General features: G+C 39.9%; 1 protein-coding gene and 1 long non-coding RNA gene across 13 annotated transcripts in view, besides 2 other annotated features; one reads left to right on the plus strand and one right to left on the minus strand.

Annotated features, from left to right (window-relative positions):
- Positions 1 to 4,996, plus strand: part of CDC42SE2 (CDC42 small effector 2) — a 184,621-nt gene extending 179,625 nt beyond the window's left edge. For 8 of the 11 annotated variants that reach the window (XM_047417396.1, XM_047417393.1, XM_047417394.1 and 5 more), the window contains 2 exons: positions 1,317 to 1,432; positions 2,153 to 4,996. In XM_047417396.1, the coding sequence (XP_047273352.1) occupies positions 1,317 to 1,415 (99 nt within the window). In that variant the 3' untranslated portion in view covers positions 1,416 to 1,432; positions 2,153 to 4,996. Of the gene's footprint in view, positions 1 to 1,316 lie in introns of all 11 variants that reach the window. The other 3 variants (NM_020240.3, NM_001038702.2, NM_001375635.1) reach the window with 2 other exon arrangements.
- The window catches only part of LOC105379173 (uncharacterized), a 28,063-nt gene continuing 5,524 nt past the window's right edge, over positions 4,964 to 27,502 (minus strand). For both annotated transcript variants that reach the window (XR_007058929.1, XR_007058930.1), the window contains exons 2-3: positions 25,395 to 27,501; positions 4,964 to 18,531 (exon numbers count right to left, since the gene is read on the minus strand). This is a non-coding gene — a long non-coding RNA (uncharacterized LOC105379173). The remainder of the gene's footprint in view (positions 18,532 to 25,394; position 27,502) is intronic.
- Positions 6,347 to 6,546: an enhancer, noted in NCBI's record as "active region_23054". NCBI's record gives its function as "activates an Ori minimal core promoter by ATAC-STARR-seq in GM12878 lymphoblastoid cells {active_cell/tissue: GM12878}" and the evidence as "EXISTENCE:reporter gene assay evidence [ECO:0000049][PMID:35858748]".
- Positions 19,043 to 19,224: a silencer, noted in NCBI's record as "fragment chr5:130744412-130744593 (GRCh37/hg19 assembly coordinates)". NCBI's record gives its function as "represses an EF-1alpha promoter that drives an FKBP-Casp9 reporter gene in an ReSE screen in K562 erythroleukemia cells {active_cell/tissue: K562}" and the evidence as "EXISTENCE:reporter gene assay evidence [ECO:0000049][PMID:32094911]".

A 27,502-nucleotide genomic window follows, 5' to 3' on the forward strand; every position in this document is an offset into this window, starting at 1 on the left:
CATGCCTTATGTTACAGTAGGTGCTCAGTAAGTATTTGATAAGCAGGTGACTGATAAATAGATGATGCCCCGGTTCCTTCCAAATTGTGGAAGTGTGCAGGGCCCTTTGAGCTGATTCCATGAAATAAATACTCGACCACATTGCTAGTGCTCTCTCTCCACTAGTTAGGCCATCACCTCCAAAATCATATTGCTTGTGTTCCTTCTTCTAGCAGTCTAGCCTGACTCTCCAATTCTCTGCTTCCAGACTGCTTCTAATTTATATGAACTAAGACTGGAATAATAATGATATGCTAAAAGTACTTCACAGTTTGCAAATGACTTTATGTGCCTTTGTTTCAGCAAAAAGAAAATATCCCAATTTTCATATATCTTGCACTCTATCAGGAAACAGCCCTGCAATGTGGTCGGGAGAGATTACCATCTTAACCCTTTTACAGATAAGAAGCCTGATACTCAGAGAGGATAAATAGTTTACCCAGTTACAATATTAATAAATAAACTGGGACTATATCTGTCTTTGGATTCTTTGATTCTTTTTTATCAGGCTATATTAACATGGTACATTTTTTGACACAGACTTTTAAGATTTATCTTTGGTTGGTCCAATTTTATTCATGCTTATTTTCTTGGTTTTGATTCTTTACTAAGTAATTGAGGTGATTATATATGTGAGATATCTGTAAATTAAGATACTTGAGGTTGAGAAACAAAGTGGAGTTGATCGGCCGGGTGCGGTGGCTCATGCCTGTAATCGCAGCACTTTGGGAGGCCGAAGCAGTCGGATCACTTGAGGTCAGGAGTTCAAGACCAGCCTGGCCAACATGGTGAAACCTAAAAATAGAAAAATTAGCTGAGTGTGGTGATGTGTGCCTGTAATCCCAGCTACTAGGGAGGCTGAGGCAGGAGAATCATTTGAACCTGGGAGGTGGAGGTTGCAGTGAGCTGAGATGACGCCAGTGCACTCCAGCCTGGGCAACAGAGCGAGACTGTCTTAAAAAAAAAGAAAGTGGAGTTGATCTATATATTTTTGACCATTTTTCAAATGTTACCAAGTGCCTTGTGAATTACAAAACTGACTTTTGTAATTTGGAAATAGAGAAAATAGGGGTTTTTGCAAAAAATGTTTCAGTTGCTAGCCTCCCTGTTTGTCCTTATAACTAGAAAATTGTTTGTCTATAAAAAAATTTTTGTCTATAAAAGTACCCTTCTGAAAAAAGCAGCCCAAATAAAATTCTGGGAAAAGAATTACTTAGTTGCACCGGACCTACTTCCTGACTTCCATTTTGTTTTGTTGTATTTTTGTCTTGTTTTAGGTTAGCTCCATTCAGAACCAAATGCAGTCCAAGGGAGGTTATGGAGGTGGAATGCCTGCCAATGTCCAGATGCAGCTCGTGGATACGAAGGCGGGATAGCCCTGGTCCTTTCTCCAGTGAGTACTCAGAGCTGGGGTCTGGACCTGACGGCCAGACATGGCCAGGCCAATAATAGTAAATATATGTATATATATATAATTTTTTAATGGTGAACTTATTGGGAAAGGCAAAATTACTCAGCTAAGTGTAGTTTCTGCACTTGGAATGTAAGTTTTAGGTTCTTTTCCTTATTAAGAACTTTAAATACTTTAAAACATCTGGTTGGGGAGGATTCTGATGACAAGATGCTTCTTATGTGTCCTTTAAACAAGAGTGAAATCATTATTTTGAGTATTGAGGCCGAGCATGGTGGCTCACACCTGTAATCCCAGCACTTTGGGAGGCCTAGGTGGGCTGATCACCTGAGGCCAGGAATTGGAGACTAGCCTGGCCAACATGGTGAAACCCCATCTCTACTAAAAATACAAAAATTAGCTGGGCATGGTGGCGCATGCCTGTAATCGCAGCTACTCAGGAGGCTGAGGCACGAGAATTGCTTGAACCTGGGAGGCAGGGGTTGCAGTCAGCTGAGAATGCGCCACTGCGCTCCAGCCTGGGTGACAGAGCAAGACCCTGTCTCAAAAAAGTACTGATACTAAAGATAATCTCTTGGGTAGTAATTTTACAGTTAAGACTTCATTGTTTATAAACTTTTCAAATTAATTAAAAAGACTACTTTGAAAAAGGATAAACCCTGAAAATGTAGAAATAATTTCAAGTTTTTTTTTGTTTTATAGGGTTATTGTGAATTTCTATATTTTCTCTGTCCACTATTCTGTAATTTTTTTTTGTCCTGTGATTGCTTTTATTTTGAATTACAAAAAAGAAGTGTGATGGCACCTTGTCCACCCTGTCGTGATTATTCCAGTGAGATGTTACTGTTCTGCTCTGAAGAAGATACTGTCAGACGAATCCTGCATTTCCTTCAGCTGGCATGCATGCCTTTGGACTCATGGACAGAGTTCTTTGGATTGTCACTGAATTTTCAATGTTTAATCAGTATGGATCTGATCTTCGCATGATCTTTTTTGTGAATGCTAACACCATTTTGCAGTTTTTTTTTTCTATTTTAAACATTTTTCTTTTCACTGCCGACCCCCTGCCTTACGATTTTATTGGAAAGCAAGGACCTGCTATTATTTGTTAATTTGCCATCATTTATGTATATTTTGGAAGGTATGAGACCCACAAGCACAATGATCATTTTTATTTGTTTGTTTGTTTGAAACTTCAGCAGAATAGATATCTGCATGCTTTATGAAGTTGTTGCTTCGGTAAGAGCCCATGGGATGCCAGAAATTAACATTTCTTTGCTGCCATGGGCTGATGATGCTGCTATTAGATAAAGTTTAGCTGTGGCACCAAGTCACATCATTTTCATAGAAAAAGATTACTTGTAGCTTATTTTAGAAGTATGACCTTTTGGTCTGTTTGATTGATTGATTAGAATTGCAATAAAAGAAAAGCTTGCATTCATAAGGCATTCATTCTGTTGTAAATGTTCAATATATTTATTTTGAGAGCAAGGACCTGTGGTTGTAAACAGGTGTGGTTACAGGTGTGGTTATGTATCTGAGTGTTGCGGTCATACTCTCCTCCAGTCCAATCCTGAGCATCTTCATCTTATTAATTAGCTGTTCGTTTCTTTGTGCACTCATTCTTTTATTTTTACTTCTTTTTAATGTTATGGTATCCAGTTGTTTCCAGTAGCAGTTTCTTGAACTTCTGGCCTGTACTACTAACTGCAGACCTCCAGAGTCACTGGCCTTTCTGTGCTCTACATATTATTTTAGGGGCCACATCAGTTGCCAAGAGCAACATACATACCGACCTGGCTGAATTATTGCCAGTGAAAACAACCTGTACGAAGCCTTTGCTCAGGTTCTAAAATATGTTTGTCCTTGCACGAATTTTGTATATTTCAAATATTTCTGTAAAGGTTTCTTCTTTTCTGTTAGAGTGTGGTGTTAAGCCAGAGTCAGTGGTTTGTGTTCTCATTAAAATGTTTGTTTAAATCCTATGTCCAATTCAAGCCTATCTAACTACATTTGGTAGGATTAACATTTCATATAACAAATGGGGCTTAATTAAAAACTTTAACTTGGAATAAAGGAACAGGGATCACTTTATCTTCTGCCTTCATTTACCTTAGTCCAAGATTCTTGCAAAACAGGCAACTGAACAAACATTAGGTTTATGTAGGTAAAATGTGAAAGCATTTCTCCTCCACTTTTTAAAATTTAATTTACCCAGTACAGCGGGGCACCAGATTACTTGATCTTTGTATTTTGCAGTTTTGAGCCTTTGTGTCAATCCCAAGCACAGAGAGGATCTGCCAAGGAAAAACATTTGCATCTTCGGAGTAGACATTTTGCAGTTTGTTTAATAACAACTTCTAAAGTAAGTTGAATTCATCCATTGTCACTGATTCACCAAGTGGATGTTGCATTGTGGAATTTGCCTGAGTACTGTTGTCATTCTGCTCAGCCAGGCACGGTCAGTTTCTTGGCCAGGGACATTGCTATGTGCTGTGTGCAAGCTCTTTAGAAGAGAGATTGGATTTTCTTGGCATTATCAGCACTCATGCTATTTAGTCTACTTCTATTTTGACTGACTCTTTAAATTAGTACAATTTTTCTACTTGTCATATAACTCCTGGAACAATAGTACGGGAAGCCGTGATCCTTTTCCCTGACTCATGATTTTAGTCTTTTTCCAAATCGCTGTTTTTTTTTTTTTTTTTTTTTTTTTTGCTGCTCCAACGACCAGCATGTGTTGGAGCAGATCTCCATGGTAAGCCAAAAGTGGACTTGTCAGCCTATAACTACTCTGCAGCTGCCACTAACTCTACAGGCACAGTAACTACACTTTATACAGGAGCACATGCCAAAGTGCCTGGGAGGTGCCAATAAAATCAAGAAATAAGAAAACTACAAAAAAAGATACGGTATTAACCTTGGACATAATTTTTTTTAGGGAGGCAGCTTTCCCACTTTTATAAAGGGGGTTGTAAATCTCAAGAGGTCATTTGTTCCCCATAGCAGCATATCTCATTTTTAAATTGAAGCGAATTAAATAGGATTTTACTACTCAACATTCATTATACTGTTAATCTTTGCTGAAATATATGCTAACAAATGTTAAGCAAGGGAAACTGAAGACTTAGTCATGTGGATTGTTAGCAGTGATCTGCATTCTGTAAAAGAGGTACTTTCCCATGATGTAGGCATGAAGTGGTGCCAGTAAGCGTAGAGCGGAAATGTTGACTTTAGTTAACATTGGGTTTAGCATTTCCAGTGCAGCATTATCAGTGGGCCTTTAAAAATACTTCGTAAGTACATTAGCTTTCACTTTGTTGTTAAATTATAGCAGACTCATTATAGAGAACAAGTTTGCCTTGATTTTGTTTAAAATGACTTCTGCTAAGCACCCAGAAGATAAAATTGACATATTTTTATAATATAAGCATACTTTTTTTGTACATTGTGTTCATTCTTGAATAAAATGAGTTCTGTGTTGGCTTGTAGATACTAAAAAGAAAGTATTGATTTTGATTCAATAAATGTTTTCTTTCAATCCTGGTTGGCCTTTCCTTTAAATTTTGTTTAGTTTTTCTTTTCTTTCAAGGAAGGAATTATTTACCAGAATTCAGTTAGAGCACCTTTTTTGCATTCTTATATTTTCAGTCATGATTCCTATCATGCAAAAAACAACTTAAAACTTTTTGATTTAAAAGAGAATTTAAATTTCTATCATTGTAATCTTTAACTTCACAGTTCACCTCTTAATTTAACAAATACCTAGTCAGAATGAAAATTAAATGGATAGAAATAGGACTAATAAAACATTTATGCCTGGTGCAGTGACTCACAACTGTAATCCCAGCTCTTTTGGAGATGGAGGTGGGTGGATAGTTTGAGACCAGCCTGGACAACATGGTGAAACCCTTTCTGTAAGTTTTTATTGCCTATCAACCACATGATTTTTAACAGAGGTATCAGATATCTACACAGCTTTCCATGATGAAGCATCTTGTCCTTATAGTATATGTAGGACTTAATTAAAATGAAATTAAATTAAGAATTCTCCTCATACTTAGCCACATTTCAGGTGCTTAGCAGTGTCATGTAGTGATCAGCTGCTGTATTAGGAAGTTATAGACTATTTCCACCATCACAGTTTGGGGAGTTAGTTTGTAGTTTGCCTCTAAAATGGTTTATGACACTGGTTCCCATAGGGAGTGATTTTGCTCCCCATGGAGACATTAGAGCAATGTCAGGAGACAGTTTTGGTCATCACAGCTTGAGGAGGGGGTGGTGCAGGCTCTGGGGAGTGGAAAGTAGGGATGCTGGTAAATATGCTGTGATGTACAGGACAGCCCCCACCACAAAGATTGATTGGGTCCAAAATGTCCGTGCCACAGCTAAAACCTGTTTTAAGACAAAGAAGATCTCTACGTCTGCATACTCACCAGGTGTAACCTGTTAGGGACTCTTCGTTGCATTAGATCATGTGCACAGGTAAGTGAGGTGTTCTGCTGGTCGAATACTGAGAATAGGTGAGTTAGGTTTTGTTTTATGAGAATTGCCACAAAACATTCTAAAAACAGAAAAGACAAATATTAGGAAAGACTATTTCAAAACTTCTGGTAACTTTTGTCCTTATCCCATATCCAAAGATTCTAAAAAGAAATTGGCTTAAAATGAAGTTCTTTGCAAAATAAAATTCTGACAATCCCAACTATGAAAAAGTATCTGAAGAAACTGATGTTGGTAGACCAAGAGCAATTACATTGTGAGCTTATGTTTTTAAAGGATATGCATAAAATGTTGAAGGAGGGGCACATAACCACAAAAAGAAATATCTATAAAATAATAGAGTATCAGAGTCTAGAAATTGCTAATATTTATGAAGACGCAAACATCTACAAAATTGATAAAGACGAAGGAAATTCTGTGCCCTCGGCTTAAAGTACACTATACACAAACTTAAAAGAAGTCATTGAAACTTTACCTTCTACTTGTCTCCATCTAGAATGGTCCAGTAAGAATGAAACCATTAAATTACTCATCTTCATCTGACTTTTTATGTTGTAGCACCTTAACTTTTGGTTTTCATAGTGTTTCTCAGACTATGAGGGTTTGCCTTTGATACCTTGTCCCAGGATTCCTTGAGCCCTGGAGTTCAAGGTTACAGTGAGCTTGACTTACGATGGTGCCTCTGCACTTCAGCCTGGGTGACAGAGCAAGACCCTGAATCTTTGAAAAAATAAAAGTGTTTTTCAATGAGCTGCTCCATCTATGCAGGAAGGAAAAAAAAAACTTTATTGTAGATATATGCAACCTCTAGGCTCATTTTGACCCCTACCTCATCTTTTTAATGCCCATCATCTTAATGTTGTATCTGGTTTGCCTTTGATGCCTAGAAGAAGAAAAAAATCTTTGCATTTACTAAAGAAAACAGTTACTCCCTGAGTAAGATCAAGTGTTTGATCTGGGACCTTATAAGGAAGTTCTCAAAGAATGGTGATCTTGGTATTGAAGAAAGCTGATTTTCATCTCATTAGAAGGTAATCTTTGCAGAAAAGTAAAGCCGGTGCTTCATTCTAACCCCCAGATTTTCTATTTTGTAAATCCAAGCTATGGAGTTCATTAGAGCTTTTACAACTCACTAGAACTCATGAGTTCAGTAGCTTTAGACAGTTAAATGCAGCTGAGAACCTGCCTTGGGGGCCCAGAAAGAATTCCTAGGCTTATGGGAATGTTTTTTGTTTTGTTTTTCTCCCTTAAAGGAGCAGCAAGCAAGTAACACACTTCTTTCAAAATCTTCAGAGCCTCACCTAGTTACCTATTTCTTAACCATTGCTTTAAGTTATATAAACATATTCATCCTTTTTATGTCTGTGTCTTTCAAATAAATATGTAAGCTGGCAGAGTCCTTTGCCTTAGACACCACGCCTTCCCCCAGAGCCTCCGCTGCTGCTGTGCTCTCCCGCAGGGCTTCATCTGCTGGGCGCTGCTTCCTTAGGGAGTATGTAAAACATTTCAGCTGCTGTTTCTGGGTTTCTGCAAAAAACTGTTTTTACTTTTCAGAAATACTGCAAAGGAAGTAAAAACCACTCTGCTTCTGTCTTTTGGCAAAACCACCCAGATTCCAAATGGGGTAATTTTAAGTTCAATCTCTTTCCAATGTCCATAATGTCCATTGTGTCCTATTATCATTTTTCACAAGTGTATGTAGGTTTTGCTCACCTGATTTTCTCTGGATAGGTACAGCGTAAGTGTACCTAATAAGGGACTCGACTGTCCCTCTCTAAATGCAGCCACATCCAATCTGTGCACAATGGAATTAAGGCCACAGACCATCTAAGCCAATAGCATAGAAGGATCTGTTACTCCTAAAACCAGAAACAGAAACAAGCAGTCCTTTGTCCCTTCTTCCCTCTTTTCAATCTGATATTCCTATAGGAAACTAGTATGATCAGATAGACATTTTAGAAAAGTATCAGCTGGGCATGGTGACGCATGTCTGTAGTCCCAGCTACTTTGGAGGGTGAGGCAGATGGATCACTTGAGCCCAGGACTTGGGTCCATCCTGGGCAACATAGCAAGACCCTATCTCTTTTAAAAAAAGAATCTAAGGGTTGGACACAGTGGTTCACGCCTGTCATCCCAACACTTTGGGAGGCCGAGGTGGGCAAATCACAAGGTCAGGAGTTCGAGACCAGCCTGGCCAACATGGTGAAACCCCATCTCTACTAAAAATACAAAAATTAGCCAGGCTTGGTGGTGCACATCTGTAATCCCAGGTACTCAGGAGGCTGAGGCAGGAGAATCGCTTCAACTCAGGAGGCGGAGGTTGCAGTGAGCCAAGATCGTGCCACTACACTCCAGCCTGGGCGACACAGTGACACTCCGTCTCAACAACAACAAAAGAATCTAGGAAATATTCATTCTACTGTGAAGGACACAGTAGAGGGTCAGGCAGTCCAATCTGTGATTAACGGGAGTTTTACAAAAAGCAAGGAAAATGCTCTTCAGAGGAAAAAGATTTTAAAAAAAAGTCTCTTGAAATTTCAAAAAATTTGTTTTTACATTTATACTTTCTCACTTCACAGCCCTCAAGGACGTTTTGTTCTGAAGACTCTCATATTCAGCTCTGGGAAATAATTATTTCTCTGATTATCCCTTCAACTTTTGAAGATTACCAGATTTCTCAACAGCAATACTGTGGTCTGGAATAAAAGGGGGCACTTCCCTCAGACTTTGGAGAAGACATTATTTTGAACTAGAATTCTGTCTACAGCCATACTCTCAATGAAGTAAGATGGCAGAATAAAGATGATTACACTAGCAATGAATGGCTTTACTTTCCACACACCCATCCTGAAAACACTCTGCAAGAATAGAGAACAAATCCAGTAATAAAATTAAATCTCAGGATTTCTAGGTCTGAAGCCAACCTAGAAGGCATTCTATCCAAATTAGAACAAACAATGAGAGATTTTTAGAACAACTGTTTACAAGAAGCATGATTAAATGGATACCATTCAATAGCAGGAAGATACCATGCATTCAAAACATTTTTTATCGAGCATTATGTGCCCAGGTACTGTTTAGACACTGAGGATACAGCAGTGAACAAATTTCTTAAGCCTCCAAGAGTTTTTATTCTAGTGGGGGGATGCAGAAAGACATTAAGCCAAATAAAGTGAATTATGTAACAGATTAGAAAATGGTAAGTGCTCTGGATAAATAACTGGGGATGTAGGAGAGGAATTGTAGTTTAAAATATCACCGTGCTGAGACAGTGACATTGAAGCTGAGATGTTAGTAATATAGTTAACACATTGTGTTAGGCCTTCTTGCATTGCTATAAAGAAATACCCAAGGCTGGGTGATTTATAAAGAAAAGAGGTTTAATTGCCTCACGCTTCTGCAGGCTTTATAGGAAGCATGGTGCTAGCACCTGCTCAGCTTCTGGGGCATCACATGGCCAGAGCATGAGCAAGAGAGAGAGTTGTGGGGGAGGTGCCACACACTTTTGTTTTTTTTTTGAGATGGAGTCTTGCTCTGCTGCCCAGGCTGGAGTGCAGTGGTGCAATCTCAGCTCACTGCAACCTTCGCTTCTTGAGTTCAAACGATTTTCCTGCCTCAGCACCTGAATAGCTGGAACTATAGGCACGTGCCACCACACCTGGCTAACTTTTGTATTTTTAGTAGAGGCGGGGTTTCACCATGTTGGCCAGGCTGGTCTCCAACTCCTGACCTCAGGTGATCCACCTGCCTCGGCCTCCCAAAGTGCAGGGATTACAGGCATGACCACCGCACCTGGTCAGGTGCCACACACTTTTAAATGACCAGATCTCACAAGAACTCATTATTGCAAAGACAGCACCAAGCCATGAGGGATCTGCCCCAATGACCCAAACACCTCCCATCAAGCCCCACCTCCATCATTGGGAATTACAATTCAACATGAGATTTGGGTGGGGACAAATATCCAAACTGTGTCATACATTTTACCATCAACAAACAAAAAGGAAAGACAATTCTAGATAGGTTTGTCTAAACCAAAAACAGGTCCAAAGATATAACATGATTTTGAGCAATTACTGCGTGTACTCCAAGTGCCTAGAACAGGATGGGCCATGCAGAAGGCACTCAGTAAATATGTTCTGTAAAATTTAAGAAAGGAAATGTCATCTGAGAGGGATGACTTTAGAGACAAATATTGCATTTCATTTAGCGCTCATCACATATCTTGTTTGTACAGTGCATTATAAATATATTTAAACACCTTTTAAGTGAAAGCATAAAATACTATAGCCACAGAACAAAATGTAAATTTTAGAAAACAAAATTCAGAAGATGGTATAGGGTTAAAGGAATGGAGGGGAATATAACTGTCAATCTCCTTTATATACATATTCAGAACTCATGAACTCTCTATACATGTTATGTTTAAAATTATCATTTGAAGTTCTAACAGATGAGATATTTAGATGTAAAAATATAACAAAAACTGGAAGGAGGAGGACAAGGATTCTGTTACAAGCCCCATCTTTTGGTGCATAAAATCATTTGCATAATTCAAAGTTGATGAATCAAGAAATGAAGTTATACTTACGTTATTTAAAGGAAGTAACCCTCAGAAGACTTCAAAAGACAAATGGCTACAAGTGGTTATCCTTAGGAAGTGGGAATGGGGTTTGGGAAGTGGATAAGGAGACTTTTAATTTCATGCCATACTATACTATTTGCATTTCACTCCCTTTATCCTACTAATTTTATTCAGTAATATAAAACAAAATAACAATATGTTTTAAACAAGAAGGATTAGGGGGGTGACATTCAGCAAGATGGCAGATTAGGAAGCTCCAGGCTCGTTTCCCCATGGAAGCACTGTATAGACAATATTCAGACCAAAATATCTTGTAAAAACTCTAGAAACCAGCTAAGAAGCTGCGGCAACCAAGTGAATGTCTAAACAAGAACAAGACATACGCAAAGTTATAGGAAATTTCATGAAATTTTGGTCACTTTTATTCCACCGCTTCCCTGGTGCAGCATGGTATTGTCAAAGGAAACTGCCTCAGTCCCAGTTTCTCCCTTGGGACTAAAGGAAAAAGGTGGAGCTTGCTTGTAACTTTCTAGCTTGTCTGAGGGCTGCTTAAGGGACTAGTTTCTGTCTTTCCTGACTCAGAGTACTGATAGGAACAGTGACATACTTTGGACACATGGTTAGAGGCTGCAAAGCCGAGGGGGAGTGCTCTGGAGAACTAGAATAGCAGGCAGCTCCCAGATCCATGGATGCTTTGGGGCAATAGATGACAAGAAGAGGAATGCAAGTGACACCTAAGTACAATACAAGTAAACACAAGTAATACAAAAATAACACACACACATGGTCCCAGGGAAGACACAGCCCCAGAAGAGACTTGAGAAGACTTGAGCCTTTAAGCTAGGCTGATTAGTGAAGATATTCCCCTGCACAAAGCCAGCTGGTAAAGACTGGGAGAGGCGGATGTTTCTTCAAATAACCACATCTCAAAAAGAGATCACAAGGTGTACACAGAAACAATGAAACACAGTCTATTCAAAGGTACAAAATAAATCTCCAGAAATCAGTCCTAAAGAACACAGACCTCTGACTTACTTGACAAAGTATGTAAACAACTGTCGGGCTGGGTGTGGTGGCTCACACCTGTAATCCCAGCACTTCGGGAGGCTGAGGCTGGTGTATCACTTGAGGCCAGGAGTTCAAGGCAGCCTGGCCAATGTGGTGAAACCCTCTCTCTACTAAAAAATACAAAAATTAGTTGGGCATGGTGGCACGTGACTGTAGTCTCAGCTACTTAGGAGGCTGAGGCAGAAGAATTGCTTGAACCTGGGAGGCAGAGGTTGCAGTAAGCCAAGATTGCGCCACTGCACTCCGGCCTGGGTGACAGAATGAGACTCTGTCTCAAAACAAAACAAAAACACCACAAGTATCTTAAATATGTGCTCAGTAAGCTAAAATAGAACACAACTTAATAAAATTAGGAAAACAATTTATGAGCAAAATGAGAATATTAACAGATAATTTTTTTTTTTTTGAGACAGAGTTTCTGTCGCCCAGGCTGGAGTGCACTGGCGCGATCTCAGCTCACTGCAAGCTCCGCCTCCTGGGTTCAAGCAATTCTCCTGCCTCAGCCTCCCGAGTAGCTGGGATTACAGGCATGTGCCACCGTGCCCAGCTAATTTTTTTTTTGTATTTTTAGTAGAGATGGGGTTTTACCATGTTGGCCAGGATGGTCTCGATCTCTTGACCTCATGATCCCCACCTCGGCCTCCCAAAGTGCTGGGATTACAGGCATGAGCCACCATGCCTGGCTGAGAAATTTTTTTAAAAGCCAGATTCTGGAGCTGAAAAATGCAATTGTTGAATTGAAAAATTCTCTAGAAGACTCGAAGCAGAAGGAATCAGCAAACTTGAAGACATGACATTTGAAGGTGCTGAATCAGGTACAAAAAGAATGAAGAAAAGTGAAGAGTTTCTAAGGGACTTAAGGGACACTATCAAGCCAACCAATATATACATTAAAAGGGTCTCAAACGGAAGAAAGAGAGAAAGGGGAAAAGACCTTATGTGAAAAATATAATGTCTGTAAATTTCCCAGCTTTGAGGAATGAAATGGAAATATAAATATGAGAGGCTCAATTAACAAGTAGGAGACCTACACTGAGAAACATTATAATCAAAAAGCAAAGACAAAGAAGAAATCTTGAAAGCAGCAAGTAAAATGCAATGCAAAATCCTGAACAAAATGCTAGTAAATAGATTTCAACAGCACATTAGAAGGATTACACACCATGACCAAGTGGGATTTATTCCTGGAATACAAGAATGGTTCAATATAGGAAAATCATTCAATATAAAGATACCACCATTTGCAGAATGAAAGAAAAACCCGCATAATCATTTCACGTGATGCAAAAAAAAAAAATCTGACAAAGTTCAACACCCTTTCACAATAAAAACATTCAAACTAGGAGAAGAAAATTACCTCAATGTAATAAATGCCACATATGAAAAGCCCACAGCAGACATCATACTCAATGGTGAAAGACTGTGAGCTTTTCCTCTATGATCAGGAACAAGACATGGTTGTCTACTTTCATGAGTTCTACTGAACAAAATACTGGAAGTCTTAGCCAGAGCAATTAGGCAAGAAAAAGAAATAAAAGGCATCCAGACTAGAAAAGAAGTTGTAAAATGATCTCTCTTCACAGGCAACATAATCTTATATGTAGAAAAATCCTAATTATTCCATTAGTCCTGACAACACCAAAAGCCTGTTAGAACTAATAAACAAATTCAGCAAGGTTGTAAGGTATAAAAATCAACAGGCAAAAAATTAGTTGTGTCATAACAATAAAAAACCTGAAAAGGAAATTAAGAAAACAATTGTTTGCATTAGCATCAGAAATTTAAAAAAAAATACCTAGGAGTACATTTAACCAAGGAGGCAAAAGACATGTATACTGAAAACTAACAGAATGTTACTGAAAGAAACTAAAGATGACATCAGTACATGAAAACACATACTGTGTTCTTGGATCGGAAGACTTACTGTTGTTAAACTGTTGATACTACACAAAGCAATCCACAGACTTAATGCAATTGGTATCAAAATCCTAATGGTGGCTGGGTGTGGCAGCTCATGCCTGTAATCTCAGAATTTGGGGAGGCCAAGGTGGGAGTATCGCATGAGGCCAGCAGTTTGAGACCAGCCTCAGCAACAAAGCGAGATCCCATCTCTACAAACAAAAATAAAAAATATTTAAAAAATCTTAATGGCATTTTTTGCAGGAAAAAACCAACCCATCCTAAAATGCATATGGAATCTCAAGGGACCCTCAAGAGTGAAAATAATCTTGATAAAGAAGAATGTTGGAAGAAAAAAGATTGTAAGTTTCATCCTTTGTAATTTTAAAACTTATTATAAATCTACAGTAATCAAAACAGTGTGGTACTGGTATAAAGACAAACATATAAACTAATATACAGAATAGAGAGTCCAGATATAAATCCTCCCATGTGTGGTCAAATGATGTTTGTCAAGGGTGCAAGGACCACTCCATGGAGAAAGGACAGTTTTGTTTCTTTACCCCCACAAATGGTGCTGGGATTAGATATCCACATGCAAAAGAATGAAGTCTAATTTTTACCTTATACCATATGTAAAAATTAAAACGGATTAAAGACCTAAACATTAGATTGAAAACTATAGAACTCCTAGAAGACAACATAGAGGGAACAATTTCTTGACATTGGATTTAGCAATGATTTCTTGGATATGATACTGAAAACACTGGAAACCAAAGTAAAAATACACAAGTTGGACTACCTCAAAATTTAAAACTTATGTGCATCAAAGAACATAATTAATAGAGTGAAAAGGCAACCTATGGAATGTGAAAATATATTTGCAAATCATATGTCTGATGAGGAGTTAATATCCAGAATACATAAAGAATTCCTACAAGTCAACAACAAAAAACAATCTGATTTAAAAATGGGCAAAGGACTTGAATAGACATTTCTTTGAAGATATATAGTTGGCAAATAAGCACATGAAAAGAGGCTCAACATCATTAATCATTAGGAAAATGCAAATCAAAATCATGAGATACCACCTTACACCAATGAGGATAGTTACTATGCAAACAAAACAACATTACAAGTGGTGTTGAGGTGTGGAGAAATTGGAACCCTTGTGCACTATTGGTGGGAATCCAAAATAATGCAACTGCTATGGAAAACAATAAGGAGTTTCCTCAAAGAATTAAAAATAGTACTACCATATGATTCAGCAATCTCACTTCTGGGTATATAACCAAAATAATTGAGCATAGGGTCTCAAAGAGATATCTGTACACCCATGTTCACAGCAGCATTATTCTCAATAACTAAGAAGTGGAAGCAACCCAAGTGTCCTTGACAGATGAATGGATAAACAAAATGTCGTTCATACATCCAATAAAATATTCAGCCTTAAAAAGAAAGGAAATTTTGACACATGCTACAACATGGATAAACCTTGAGGACAGTATTTCCAGTGAAATAAGCCACAAAGAGACAAGTATGATTCCACTTATATGAGGTATTTAGAGTAGTCACATTCACAGACACAGAAAGTAGAATGATGGTTGCCAAGGGAGAGGGGCAGTGGGGATTGTGGAGTTGTTTAATGGGTATAGAGTTTCAGTTTTGCAAGGTAAAAATGTTTTGGAGATTGGCTGCAAAACGTGAATGTCCTTAATGCTACTGAACTGTATACTTAAAAACGGTTAAGACAAGTACATTTTGTTATGTGCATTTTACCACATTTTAATGCCAAAAAACTCCCAAGCCCAAAAAACAAACCAAGAAAGACTAACACATGTACTGTTGTGGTGGGTTGTAGCCAGAGAGGGAGGTGAAAACCAGTGGGCAGTGATGGAGGGTTGCAGTGATGGAGGGTTGCAACTCCCATGAGAGAAACATGTTTGAGGCATTTATACACATTGAATAAACCCAAATACCAAATGATCTCTCACGTATATGTAATCCATAAAATCTCCTAGGACACTAGAGATAAAGCTGCTAGTCAGCACTGAGATTGTACAAGTGCAAAATGTAAGGAGAAACTTGACCTTGTGCTTGAACTCCTGCTTGTCAAGTTCTTCATTTCTCTGAAACCCTAGAGCTATAACATGCTAAAGCACTAACAAGCTTTAAAAGTAGTTATTTTTCTATCATTACCAAAAATACACAATTTGCATTTAAATTCTATTTGAGCTCATGGCTTCCTTGAGGATCAAAGAAATAGACCAGATGAGGCCAAAGAGCTCTTTCTGTTCCAGGAAGGACAGGACGGGGAAGGTAGAGTTGTGGTCCTGCCTGGGCCTGAGTAGACTCACTTACTACTTGGAGCAGACACTGAATGTGCTTTCTGGCCTTGGACCTCCCCAAAGCCCACAAGGTGTCTGCTGTGGCCTGGACCTTGGGGTAGGTACTGCTGCTAGATTGTTACTGGCATTTGGTAACTGCCTATTTTTAGTACTTATTTTCAAATTAAAAAATGTTTGAAGCCTTTCATTCTGAACCCTGTCCAGCCTACACTATTTGGTTTAAATAATACAACATCTTCCTAAGTTTCTAGGGCACAGAACACAGTGTTGGGTCTGGGCTCCTAATGAGCAAAAGATTTGAGGCTGCAGGCATTTTCCCCTCCAGCCAGGTGACAGCCAGGAAGACGGTCCCTGTAAGTCTAGCAGAGTAGCTTAGACTCCTCTTTTCTGCATCTGCCTCTCTGAGACCTATGTAAATGGCTGTCCCCTTTGAGACAACAGAGATAAGCACTGGCAGCAGGTAACTTACCAGACTTAACCCCAGTTCGTCATTCTGTCCTGTAAGAGTTCCTATGTTTCCCTGTCTTATAACAATTCCCCAAATCCATTTCTTTGGGCAACTATTGCTTCCCCAATCTGTGGGGTTCTGGTGGGCCTGCCAGTCACAGTAACCAGTTCTCTCCTCCCCACAGGTGTGTGCATGAGGGCAGGCTAGGGTGAGGCCTTCCCTGGAATTTCCAGCTTGTAGAGCGGGGTCAGTTCCTGTATGACCCCAGACACTTCACATAACTATAGCCCAGCACGTGAAGAAAACCTGCTGGTAATGGGGAAGGATAAGGCCAACAGACAGCTGAAATGACAAGTGGAGAGCAGGAAGGAGAGCTCAAGTGCCCTGGAGGTGTTGCATCCTGACCCTTGGGTGTTCCAGGGAATACCCAGTTATTAGCTCTTTGGCTTTGAGCAAGATATGTATCATCTCCAACCATCTGTTTCATAATCTATGAAACTGGGAGAGTAAAAGCTCTTTTCTAGGATGGTTGTGAGAATTAGATCACATAAGCAAAGCCCATGCCCATCACAGGACTTGTGTTTACTCAGCTCCTCCTGTGCCGGAACTTGCTGAGCTCCCCTCTCTCCTCCCTTGTTAGGCTGGGGCTGTAAAATAGAAATCTGGAACTAATAAAAGTCTAATGGCCAGGTGTGGTGGCTCACACCTGTAATCCCAGCACTTTGGGAGGCTGAGGCGGGTGGATCACGAGGTCAGGAGATCAAGACCATCCTGGCCAACATGGTGAAACCTCGTCTCTACTAAAAATACAAAAATTAGCTGGGCATGGTGGCGGGTGCCTGTAGTCCCAGCTGGTCAGGCGGCTGAGGCGGGAGAATCGCTTGAACCCGGGAGGCAGAGTTTGCAGTGAGCAAAGATTGTGCCACTGCACTCCAGCCTGGGTGACAGTGCGAGACTCCGTCTCAAAAAAAAAAAAAAAAAAAAGTCTACTGAATAAACCGATAATTGAACCTATTCTGGAAGTTCTACTTTGTGTTTTTTTCTTAAGAAGGAAAATGGAGATGGTAATTATGTGAGCATTTTTACCACCTGTTTCATCAGAAGCCTATGTTGCTGATTTTCTCTTTCACTAGTCCTTACAAATCCCCCATTTTATGAAACACCAAGGGCCTGAGGAACTTTCACAAGAGCAGCCTTCAGCTAGACTGAAGTGCCTGCCTGCCTTCAGATTATTCATTATGTCAGAGAGCTGCAAGAGGTGACTGGCAGACAAGAGAGAAAACTCTCTACTCAGTTCACAAACTGCCAAGCAGAAAGACGAGTGTGCCAATGTAAGGCAGGTCAAAGAACTGCCCTGCATTCTGGATTCTGAGTCAAGGAGATCACTAAGAGGTTTGTTTAATCCTAGACCATGCTGTGTTTGCCTCTCATTGACTTCCTGGCTTGGCTGCAATGGGTTGTCCCCTTCCTTAGCGCCTGGCAGGCTAGGAAAGTCCAATGTCCATGTCACAGGGTTTGGCACGTGGTGTTTTCCACATGCGATGCTACATCAAGATTTGTGTCTGAGGTTTCAGTTGAAATTATCAAATGGCTTTTCTCAAGCCATTCATGATCTGCTCATCCACTATTAAGTCCCTGCTATATGCGATGCACAGCAAGTATGCTCTGTATAAAACACCAGTCATCATCTTAGTGCCCTCAAGCAAACAAGGACCCCGTGTGTTATGGTTTATAGAGCCATGCAGAATTCCTGCTGCCTGAGGAACAAAAACAGCCCAGTCTTGAGGTCTTGAGTAGTTGCTGAAAAATCTGAGCTTTTAACATGGTCTCTTTTAGGGTCTCCAATTCTTATTATGGTCAGGCTCTCACACACCTGCTTTTTAACAAGATCTCACTAAAGGCAACAATTTTTGCTGGCATAGCGTGTTGGGCACAGGTGGTCTCAATTATTGTTTATCCCAAGTACGCATGTAAATGTGAAAAGAGAAAAGTACATCGGGCAATTGAGTCTGACTTTCATTTTTCAGCTGTGTGTCCAAGTCTACTGTAAGGCAATTCTTAATGTACACTTGATTTCCATAATGTTTCCCTTCTATTTTCCCACCTGCTGTTGGCTTTGAACAACCTTACCTGAGCTGAGAATGGCTGCTTCTCTGGCAAGAAGTTTCTAGAATGTGTTTGCTGGGCCAAAGCTTGGACACCTGATCTCTTCAGAGATCTTGTGGATAGACTGATAGAGAAGAAAGAAAATAACTCATGCAGCAATGTATAAAACAGACGAAGAGGTGTTACAATGATCAAAAGGGACAAAGTAAAACATACAGAAGTCTAACTGATTCTGCATCATTGTGAATCAAATTACATACTAACATGAATTTTACAGAGATCCAAAGCCTTTTTGAGCTAAAGCCAAAGAACCAGGAGATCTTTATTTTTTTAACTGCAGTAAAATATACACAACATAAAATTTACCATGTTAACCATTGTTTTTCCTTTTTGAGACTCTGTTGCCCTGGCTGGCATGCAGTGGTGGGATCATAGCTTACTGCAGCCTCTAACTCCAGGGCTCAAGCGATTCTCCCACTTCAGCCAACCAAGTAGCTGGGACTACAGGTGCCCATCACCATGCTCAGTTAATTTTTAAAAGTTTTTATTTGTATAGACAGGAGTCTTGCTCTGTTGCCAGGCGGGTCTTCAACTCCTGGGCTCAAGCAATTCTCTTGCCTCAGCCTCCCAAAGTGCTGGGATTATAGGCATAAGCCATCATGCCTGGTCTTTTTTTTTTTTTTTTTTGAGACCGATTCTCCCTCTGTCTTCCAGGCTAGAGCACAGTAGCGTGATCTTGGCTCACTGCAACCTCTGCCTCCCACGTTCAAGTAAACCTCATACCTCAGCCTCCTGAGTAGCTGGGACTACAGGCGCACGCCACCATGCCCAGCCAAGTTTTGTATTTTCAGTAGAGACAGGATTTCACCATGTTGCCCAGGCTGGTCTTGAACTCTCGGCCTCAAGTGATTCACCCACCTTGGCCTTCCAAAGTACCAGGATTACAAGTGTGAGCCATCAAGCCCAGAAGTCTTAACCATTTTTAAGAGTACGATATCAGTAGTGTTAAGTACTTTCACATGTTGTACAACCACATTCGCATTGCTGTTGAACATTTTCATCTTGCAAAACTATACTAATTAAATAACTCCCCATTTCTCCCTACGCCTGGCAACCACCATTCTACTTTATCTATGAATTTGACTGCTCTAAGTACCTCATAAATTCATATACATGTTCTCATGTATCCATATATATGTGGAATCATACAATATTTGTCTTTCAGTGACTGGCTTATTTTACTTGGCATGTTTGTTCTCAAGGTTCATCTATTTTGTCTTTATTAAAATACCAATGACATTCTTCACAGAAATAGAAAAAAAAAATCCTAAAATTTATATGGAACCACAAAAGACTCAGCACAGCCAAGCTTATCCTAAGCAAAAAGAACAAAACAGAAGGAATCACATTACCTGACTTCAAATTATACTATGGAGGTATAGTAACCAAAAGAACATGGTTCTGGCATAAAAACAGACAAAGACCAATGGAACAGAATAGAGAACACAGAAAGAAGTCCATGCACCTAGAGTGAATTCATTTTCAACAAAGGTGCCAAGAACATACACTGAAGACAGTCTCTTCAATAAATGGTGCTGGGAAAACTGGATTTCCATATTCAGAAGAATGAAATTAGACACCTCTCACCATATAAAAAAATCAAATCAAAATGGATTAAGGATTTAAAACTAAGACCTCAAACTATGAAACGACTACAAGAAAACATTGAGGAAAGTCTCCAGGACATTGGTCTAGGCAAAAATTTCATGAGCAACACCCTACAAGCACAGGCAACCAAAGCAAAAATGGACAAATGGGGCCGGGTGTGGTGGCTCACACCTGTAATCCCAACACTTTGGGAGGCTGAGGTGGGTGGATCACAAGGTCAAGAGATCAAAACCATCCTAGCCAACATGGTGAAACCTTGTCTCTAATAAAAATACAAAAATTAGCTGGGCATGGTGGCGCACACCTGTAGTTCCAGCTACTCTGGAGGCTGAGGCAGGAGAATCACTTGAACCTAGGAGGTGGAGCCTGCAGTGAGCCGAGATCGCGCCACTGCACTCCAGCCTGGCAACCGAGTGAGATTCTGTCTCAATAAAATAAAATAAAATAAAATGGACAAATGGAATCACAACAAGTTAAAAATCTTCTGGGCCGGGCACGGTGGCTCACGCCTGTAATCCCAGCACTTTGGGAGGCCGAGGCGGGTGGATCACGAGGTCAGGAGATTGAGACCATCCTGGCTAACACGGCGAAACCCCGTCTCTACTGAAAAATACAAAAAATTATCCAGGTGTGGTGGCGGGCGCCTGTAGTCCCAGCTACTTGGGAGGCTGATGCAGGAGAATGGCGTGAACCTGGGAGGTGGAGCTTGCAGTGAGCCAAGATCATGCCACTGCACTCCAGCCTGGGCAACAGAGCAAGACTCCATCTCAAAAAAAAAAAAAAATCTTCTGCACTGCAAAGGAAACAATCAGGAAACAATCAACAAAGTGAAGACACAACCCACAAAATGGGAGAAAATATTTGCAAACTACCCATCTGACAAGGGATTAATAACCAGAATATATAGAAGCTCAAACAACTCCATAGGAAAAAATCTAATACAATAAAAAAAATGGGCAAATGGTTTGAATAGAAATTTCTCAAAAGACATACAAATGGCAACAAATCAAAACTACAATGAGAAATCATCTCACCCTCAGTTAAAATGGCTTATATCCAAAAGACAGGCAATAACAAATGCCAAAAATGTGGAGGAAAGGCAACCCTTGTACAATGTTGGTGGGAATGTAAATTAGTGCAACCACTATGGAGAACTATTGGAGGTTCCTCAAAAAACTAAAAATAGAGCTACCATCCAACAGTAGGATCCAACAATCCTACTGCTGGGTATATATACCCAAAACAAAGGAAAGATATCTGCACTCCCATGTTTGTTACAGCACTGCTCATAAAAGCTAAGATTTGGAAGCAACCTAAGTGTCCATCAACAGATGAATGGATAAAGAAAACGTAGCACAGGCCAGGCGCGGTGGCTCATGCCTGTAATCCCAGCACTTCGGGAGGCTGAGGCAGGCAGACAGCTTGAGCTCAGGAGTTTGAGACTAGCCTGGGCAACATGACAAAAACCTTGTCTCTACTAAAAATACAAAAATTAGCTGGGCGTAGTGGCACATGCCTGTGGTCCCAGCTACTCGGGGGACTGAGGTGGGAGGATCACTTGAGCCCAGGAGGTGGAGGTTGCAGTGAGCCAAGACCACGCCACTGCATTCCATCCTGGGTGACAGAGACCCTGCCTCAAAAAAAAAAAAAAAAAAAAAATTGAGTGGCACATATACACAATGGAATACTATTCAGCTATAAAAAAGAATGTGATCCTGCGTGTCATTTGCAACAACATGGTTGGAACTGGAGATCATTACGTTAAGTGAAATAAGTCAGGCACAGAAAGACAAACATCACACGTTCTCACGTGTGTGATCTAAAAATCAAAACAATTGAATTCATGGACATAGAGAGTAGAAGGGTGGTTACCAGAGGTACAAAAACATAGTTAGAATGAGTAAGACTTACTATTTGACAGCACAATAGGGTAACTACAGTCAGTAATATACATTTTTAAATAAAAGTGTGTAATTGGATTGCTTGTAATATAAAAGATAAACGTTTGAGGGAATGGATGCCCCATTCTCCCTCTGATTATTTCATGTTGCATGCCTGTATCAAAACATCTCATGTACCCCATAAATATATATACCTATGTACCCACAAAAGTTAAAAATTAAAAAAATTGGCTGGGTGCAGTGGCTCACACCTGTAATCCCAGCACTTTGGGAGGCCCAGGTGGGCAGATCACCTGAGGTCAGGAGCTCGAGACCAGCCTGGCCAACATGGTGAAACCCCGTCTCTACTAAAAATACAAAAATTAGCTGGGCATGGTGGCACATGCCTGTAATTCCAGCTACTCAGGGAGGCTGAGGCAGAAGAATCAGTTGAATGTGGGAGGCGGAGGTTGCAATGAGCTGAGATCGTGCCACCGCACTCCAGCCTGGGTGACAGAACGAGATTCCATCTCAAAAAAAAAAAATTAAAAATTAAAACAATTGGCTGGGCATGGTGGCTCACGCCTGTAATCCCAGCACTTTGGGAGGCCGAGGTGGGCGGATCACCTGAGGTTGGGAGTTCAAGACTAGCCTGGCCAACATGGAGAAACCCTGTCTCTACTAAAAATACAAAAATCAGCCGAGCATGGTGGTGCATGCCTGTAATCCCAGCTACTCGGGAGGCTCAGGAGAATCACTTGAAACCAGGAGGCGGAGGTTGCAGTGAGCCAAGATCACACCACTGCACTCCAGCCTGGGCAACAAGAGCGAAACTCCGTCTCAAAAAAAAAAAAAAAAAAAAAAAAGAAAAAGAAAAAAAATTAAAACAATTGTAAAAAGGTTCATCCATTTTGCAGCATGTCAGAATTTCTTTCCTTTTCAAGGTTAATAATGTTTCATTCATTGTATGCATCCAGCATTTTATCCATTCATCCACTGATGGGCACTTGGGTTGCTTCCACCTTAGCCATTGCTGATAATATTGCTATGAACAAGGGTGTACAAATATCTCTTTGAGACCCTACTCTCAATTCTTTTGCACATATATACATATATATATATACACATATATGTATATATACACACACACATATATATACACATATATGTATATATACACACACACACATATATATGTACCCAGAAGTGGAACTGCTGGATCATATGGTAATTCCATGTTTAATATTTTGAGGAACTTACATATTATTTTCCAAAGCAGTTGCATTACTTACATTCCCATCAAGAGTGTACATGACTTCTAATATCTCTACATGCTCTCTAACAATTGTTATTTTCAATTTTTTTGACAGTAACCATCCTCATGGGTGTGAGGTGGTATTTTGTTGTGATTTTGACTTGTGGATTAGTGACACTGAACCACTTTTCATGTGCTTGTTGGCCAACTGTTATCTTCTTTGGAGAAATATCTATTCAAATCTTTTACCTTTTTTTTAAAGACAGGGTATCATTCTGTCACCCAGGCTGGAGTGCAGTGGCAAAATCAGGGCTCACTGCAGCCTCATCTCTTGGGCTGAAGCGATCCTCCCACCTCAGCCTCCTGAGTAGCTGGGATTACAGGTATCTGCCACCACGCCTGGCTAATCTTTAAATTTTTTGTGGAGACAGGGTCTCACCATGATGCCCAGGCTGGTCGTGAACTCTTGGGCTCAAGTAATCTTCCTGCCTTAGCCTACCAAAGTGCTGGGATTCTAGTGTGAGCCACAGTGCTCGGCCATTTTTGCTGCCCCCAACCCCTTTTTGGCAGAGTCTCCCTCTGTCACCCAGGCTGAAGTGCAGTGGTGTGATTACGGCTCACTGCAGCCTCAACCTCCCAGGATCAAGTGACGCTCCTGAATGGCCTCCAAAGTAGCTGAGACTGCAGGCACGCGCCTCCATGCCCGGCTAATTTTTAAAATGTTCTGTAGAGATGGGGTCTCTCTATGTTGCCCAGGCTAGTCTCAAACTCCTGAACTCAAGATATCCTCCTGCCTTGGCCTCCCAAAGTATTGGGATTACAGGCATTGCTCGACCTTCTGCCCATTTTAAATTGGGTTTTCTGTTGTTGACAGAGAGATTTTATTTGATAATAATTTAAATAATATTACTTTTAATATTGATAATTTAAAGAAATATTTTTGAAATATGTATTTTAAATGTTATATAAAATGCATTTCAAGTATTCCAGTGTAAAATATACACTGTGCTCTCCCAATCAGAATGGAATGGACTTTATTTGAACCCCTACAGATAACAATATTGTCATTAAAAATTAGGAAACTGAAATTTAGAAAGGATGAGCACCTTATCCAACAGGACACTGAATTTTTCAGTACTACCTTCAGAGATCACTGAACTGTAGCCTGTTTTTGTCTAGGCTTAACTAGGGAAGAAGCCACTTTCGATCTCACGCAAATGGTTAACAGAATCTATTTCCTGTGGCTGGGGAGCTGAGGGCTCTGGCTTCTTGCTGACTATTGGCTGCAGTCCTCCCTTAGCTCCTAGAGGCCTCCTGCAGTTCATGTCCCCATGTGCCTCCTCAACATGTGCACTTCATTAAGCCAAGGAGAGCCTAGAGCTAGTTTGCTAGCAAGATGGAGTCTTATACAGTGTAACATAATCGTGCAGCTACATTACACCACCTTTGCCATTTTCTATTGCTGTGAAGCAACTCACAGGTCTCAATCATAACCAAGGGGATGATACAGTAGAAAATGGCAAAGGGCATGACTACTAGGACACCAGGGTGGCAGACTGTATTTTTCAAAAACAGCCACAGCAATATTCTCTGACATGGTCTTCTAGAACCTTGTTACTTTTTATCAACAATTTCCTCTGCTTCCCTGTCACTGAACCTGGGTGACACACTGTGATACAGCTTGCCTGGCTCTCTCTTTTGCGATACTTGCCCTTGAAACTCAACCTCCATGATCTGAGGCAGGCCAAAACAGCCCATATGGAGAGATCACATGGAGAGGTTCACGTGGTCAGGAATAGAGGCCTCAAACAACAGCCAGCATTAACTCTCAGCTATGAGCTTTCAAATAATTCCTGTCCTGAGCCTGAATCTTTCAGCTAAGGCCTTAATCACTGTGGAGCACAGAAAAGCCAGCTTTTCTAAACCCTGTGCAAATTCCTGAACAATAAACAAGCATAATAAATGGTTGTTTCATGCCACTAAATTTTGGGTTGATTTGTTACACAGCCATAGTAATTGGGACATGTTAATAGAATAAAGGAGCAAGAACCCACAATTATTTCAATACATGCAGAAAAAGCATTTGATAGAGTCTGACATTTATTAATAATTAAAAAGTTCCAGCAAATTATAAATCGAAGGGAACTTTCTTAATCTGACAAAGAGTTAATACATAAAACTTACTGCACACAGTGTATTTATTGTTGACAGTTTTTCTCTATCATCACTTCTATTCATTATATTGGAAGTTCTGGGTAACTGAAAAAATAAAAGGCATAAGAATTAGAAAGGAAGAAATAGAACTGCCTTTAGCTGCAGATTACATGTCTATATAGAAAATCTGAGATTATTATTATTATTAGGATTCAGTGAGTTTGGTAAGACTGTTGGACACTGGAACAACATTAAAAAATCAATTTTATTTCTATTTGACAAAAAATAATCAAAGTCTGGGCACAGTGGCTCGTAAGTGTAATCCCAACACTTTGGAAAGCCAAGGCAGGAGAATCACTTGAGCCTAGGAGTTCAAGACCAGCTTGGGCAAAATTAGTAGACCCCGTCTCTACAAAAACATTAAAAAATTAGCTGGGTCCATGTGGTGTGCACTTGTAGTCCCTTCTACCTTGGAGGAGGTCGAGGCTATAGTCAGCTGTGATTGCACCACTGCACTCCAGCCTGGGCAACAGAGCAAGAAACCATCTCTTAAAAGAGAGAATAATTAACAACTGAAAATTTAGAAGCTACTATTTATAATAGCATCAAACATACTGCTTAAAAATAAATCTTACATAAAAAGTATGAAACTCTTAAACCAAAACAATAAAACAGAGCAATAGAAAATCTAAGTGGAGAAATATACTACATTCATAGATCAGAAGACTAAATTTCAAGATGTTACTCTCCTTCAAAATGATATATAGATTCAAGAAAATCACAATGAAAATTGCAATTGTATGCATATGTGTAAGTGTACTTGTGTGTAAGTTGGTAAGCTGGTTCTAAAATTTTTTGGAAATACAATGATACAAGACATCAAAAAAGGAGAACAGGGTTAGAGAACTTTCTCATTAAGATATTGATATGTGTAATACTAGAGTAATTAAGAGTGTGGTATTGGAAAATGGAGAAATAAACAGGCTAATGAAACAGAATACAGACCCCAGAAATAAACTCAAGTATACTGGACACTCAAGTATATATGGACACTTGATTTACAGCAAAGATGGCAGTGAAGTGCACTAGACAAAATGTCTTTTCAATAAATGGTGCAGGAACAATCTGTAGGTAGAGGAATGAAACCTGACTCCTACCTCATACTACACATAAACATCTATTCCAGATCTGTTTTAGAGCTAAATTTAAAAGGCAAAACATTTAAAATGTAACACAGAATATAATCATGAACTTAGAGTAAGGACTTCTTAAGCAGAACACAAAGGCTGGGTGCAGTGGCTCACGCCTGTAATTCCAACACTTTGGGAGGCTGAGGTGGGTGGATTACTTGAGGTCAGGAGTTTGAGACTAGCCTGGCCAACATGGTGAAACCCTGTCTCTACTAAAAATACAAAAATTAGACGGGAGTGGTGGTGGACATCTATAAATCCAGCTACTCGGGAAGCTGAGGCAGGAGAATCACTTGAACCCAGGAGGCAGAGGCTGCAGTGAGCTGAGATGGCGCCACTGCACTCTAGCCTAGGCTACAGAACAAGGCTCCATTTCAAAAAAAAAAAAGTCAGTAGAAAATGATTTAATAAAAACCCTGCAACACAAAAAGCACTAACTATAAAGGAAAAGAATAATACATTTCTCTAGTTTAAAGTTAAGAACTTCTCAAGAGACACCATTAAGTGTATGACAAAGCAAGTCAGAGAGGGACAAGCTATTTGCCACAGGTATAGCTGACAAAGGAGTCAGATCCAGAATATATAAAGAACACCTCGAAATCGATTTAGAAAAGAATACTTACAAAGGCATTTCATAAAAGAGGAAATGGCCTATAGTAATATGAAAAAGGTGCTCAACCCCACTAATAACTAGGGAAATGCAAACTAAAACCACAATACCATTACATACCAACCAAAATGGCCAAAGTGAAAGAAGAACGCTGAAAATACCAACTGGTCAGAACAGATGAGAACTTGCCAGGGAGTCTTTGTAATACACAGTTGTTCAATATATATTGTTAGACTTCTGATTTTTTTTTTTTAGTGCATATTTTGTACAGGTATGTTTTTCATTCCCATTCAGAGTTGGACCATTTGTATTTTCTGGTAGGTTTCTCTTGTGGTCCC

The sequence above is a fragment of the Homo sapiens genome, chromosome 5 (genome assembly GCF_000001405.40).
Source record: "Homo sapiens chromosome 5, GRCh38.p14 Primary Assembly".
In the NCBI taxonomy this organism is placed as follows: domain Eukaryota; kingdom Metazoa; phylum Chordata; class Mammalia; order Primates; family Hominidae; genus Homo; species Homo sapiens.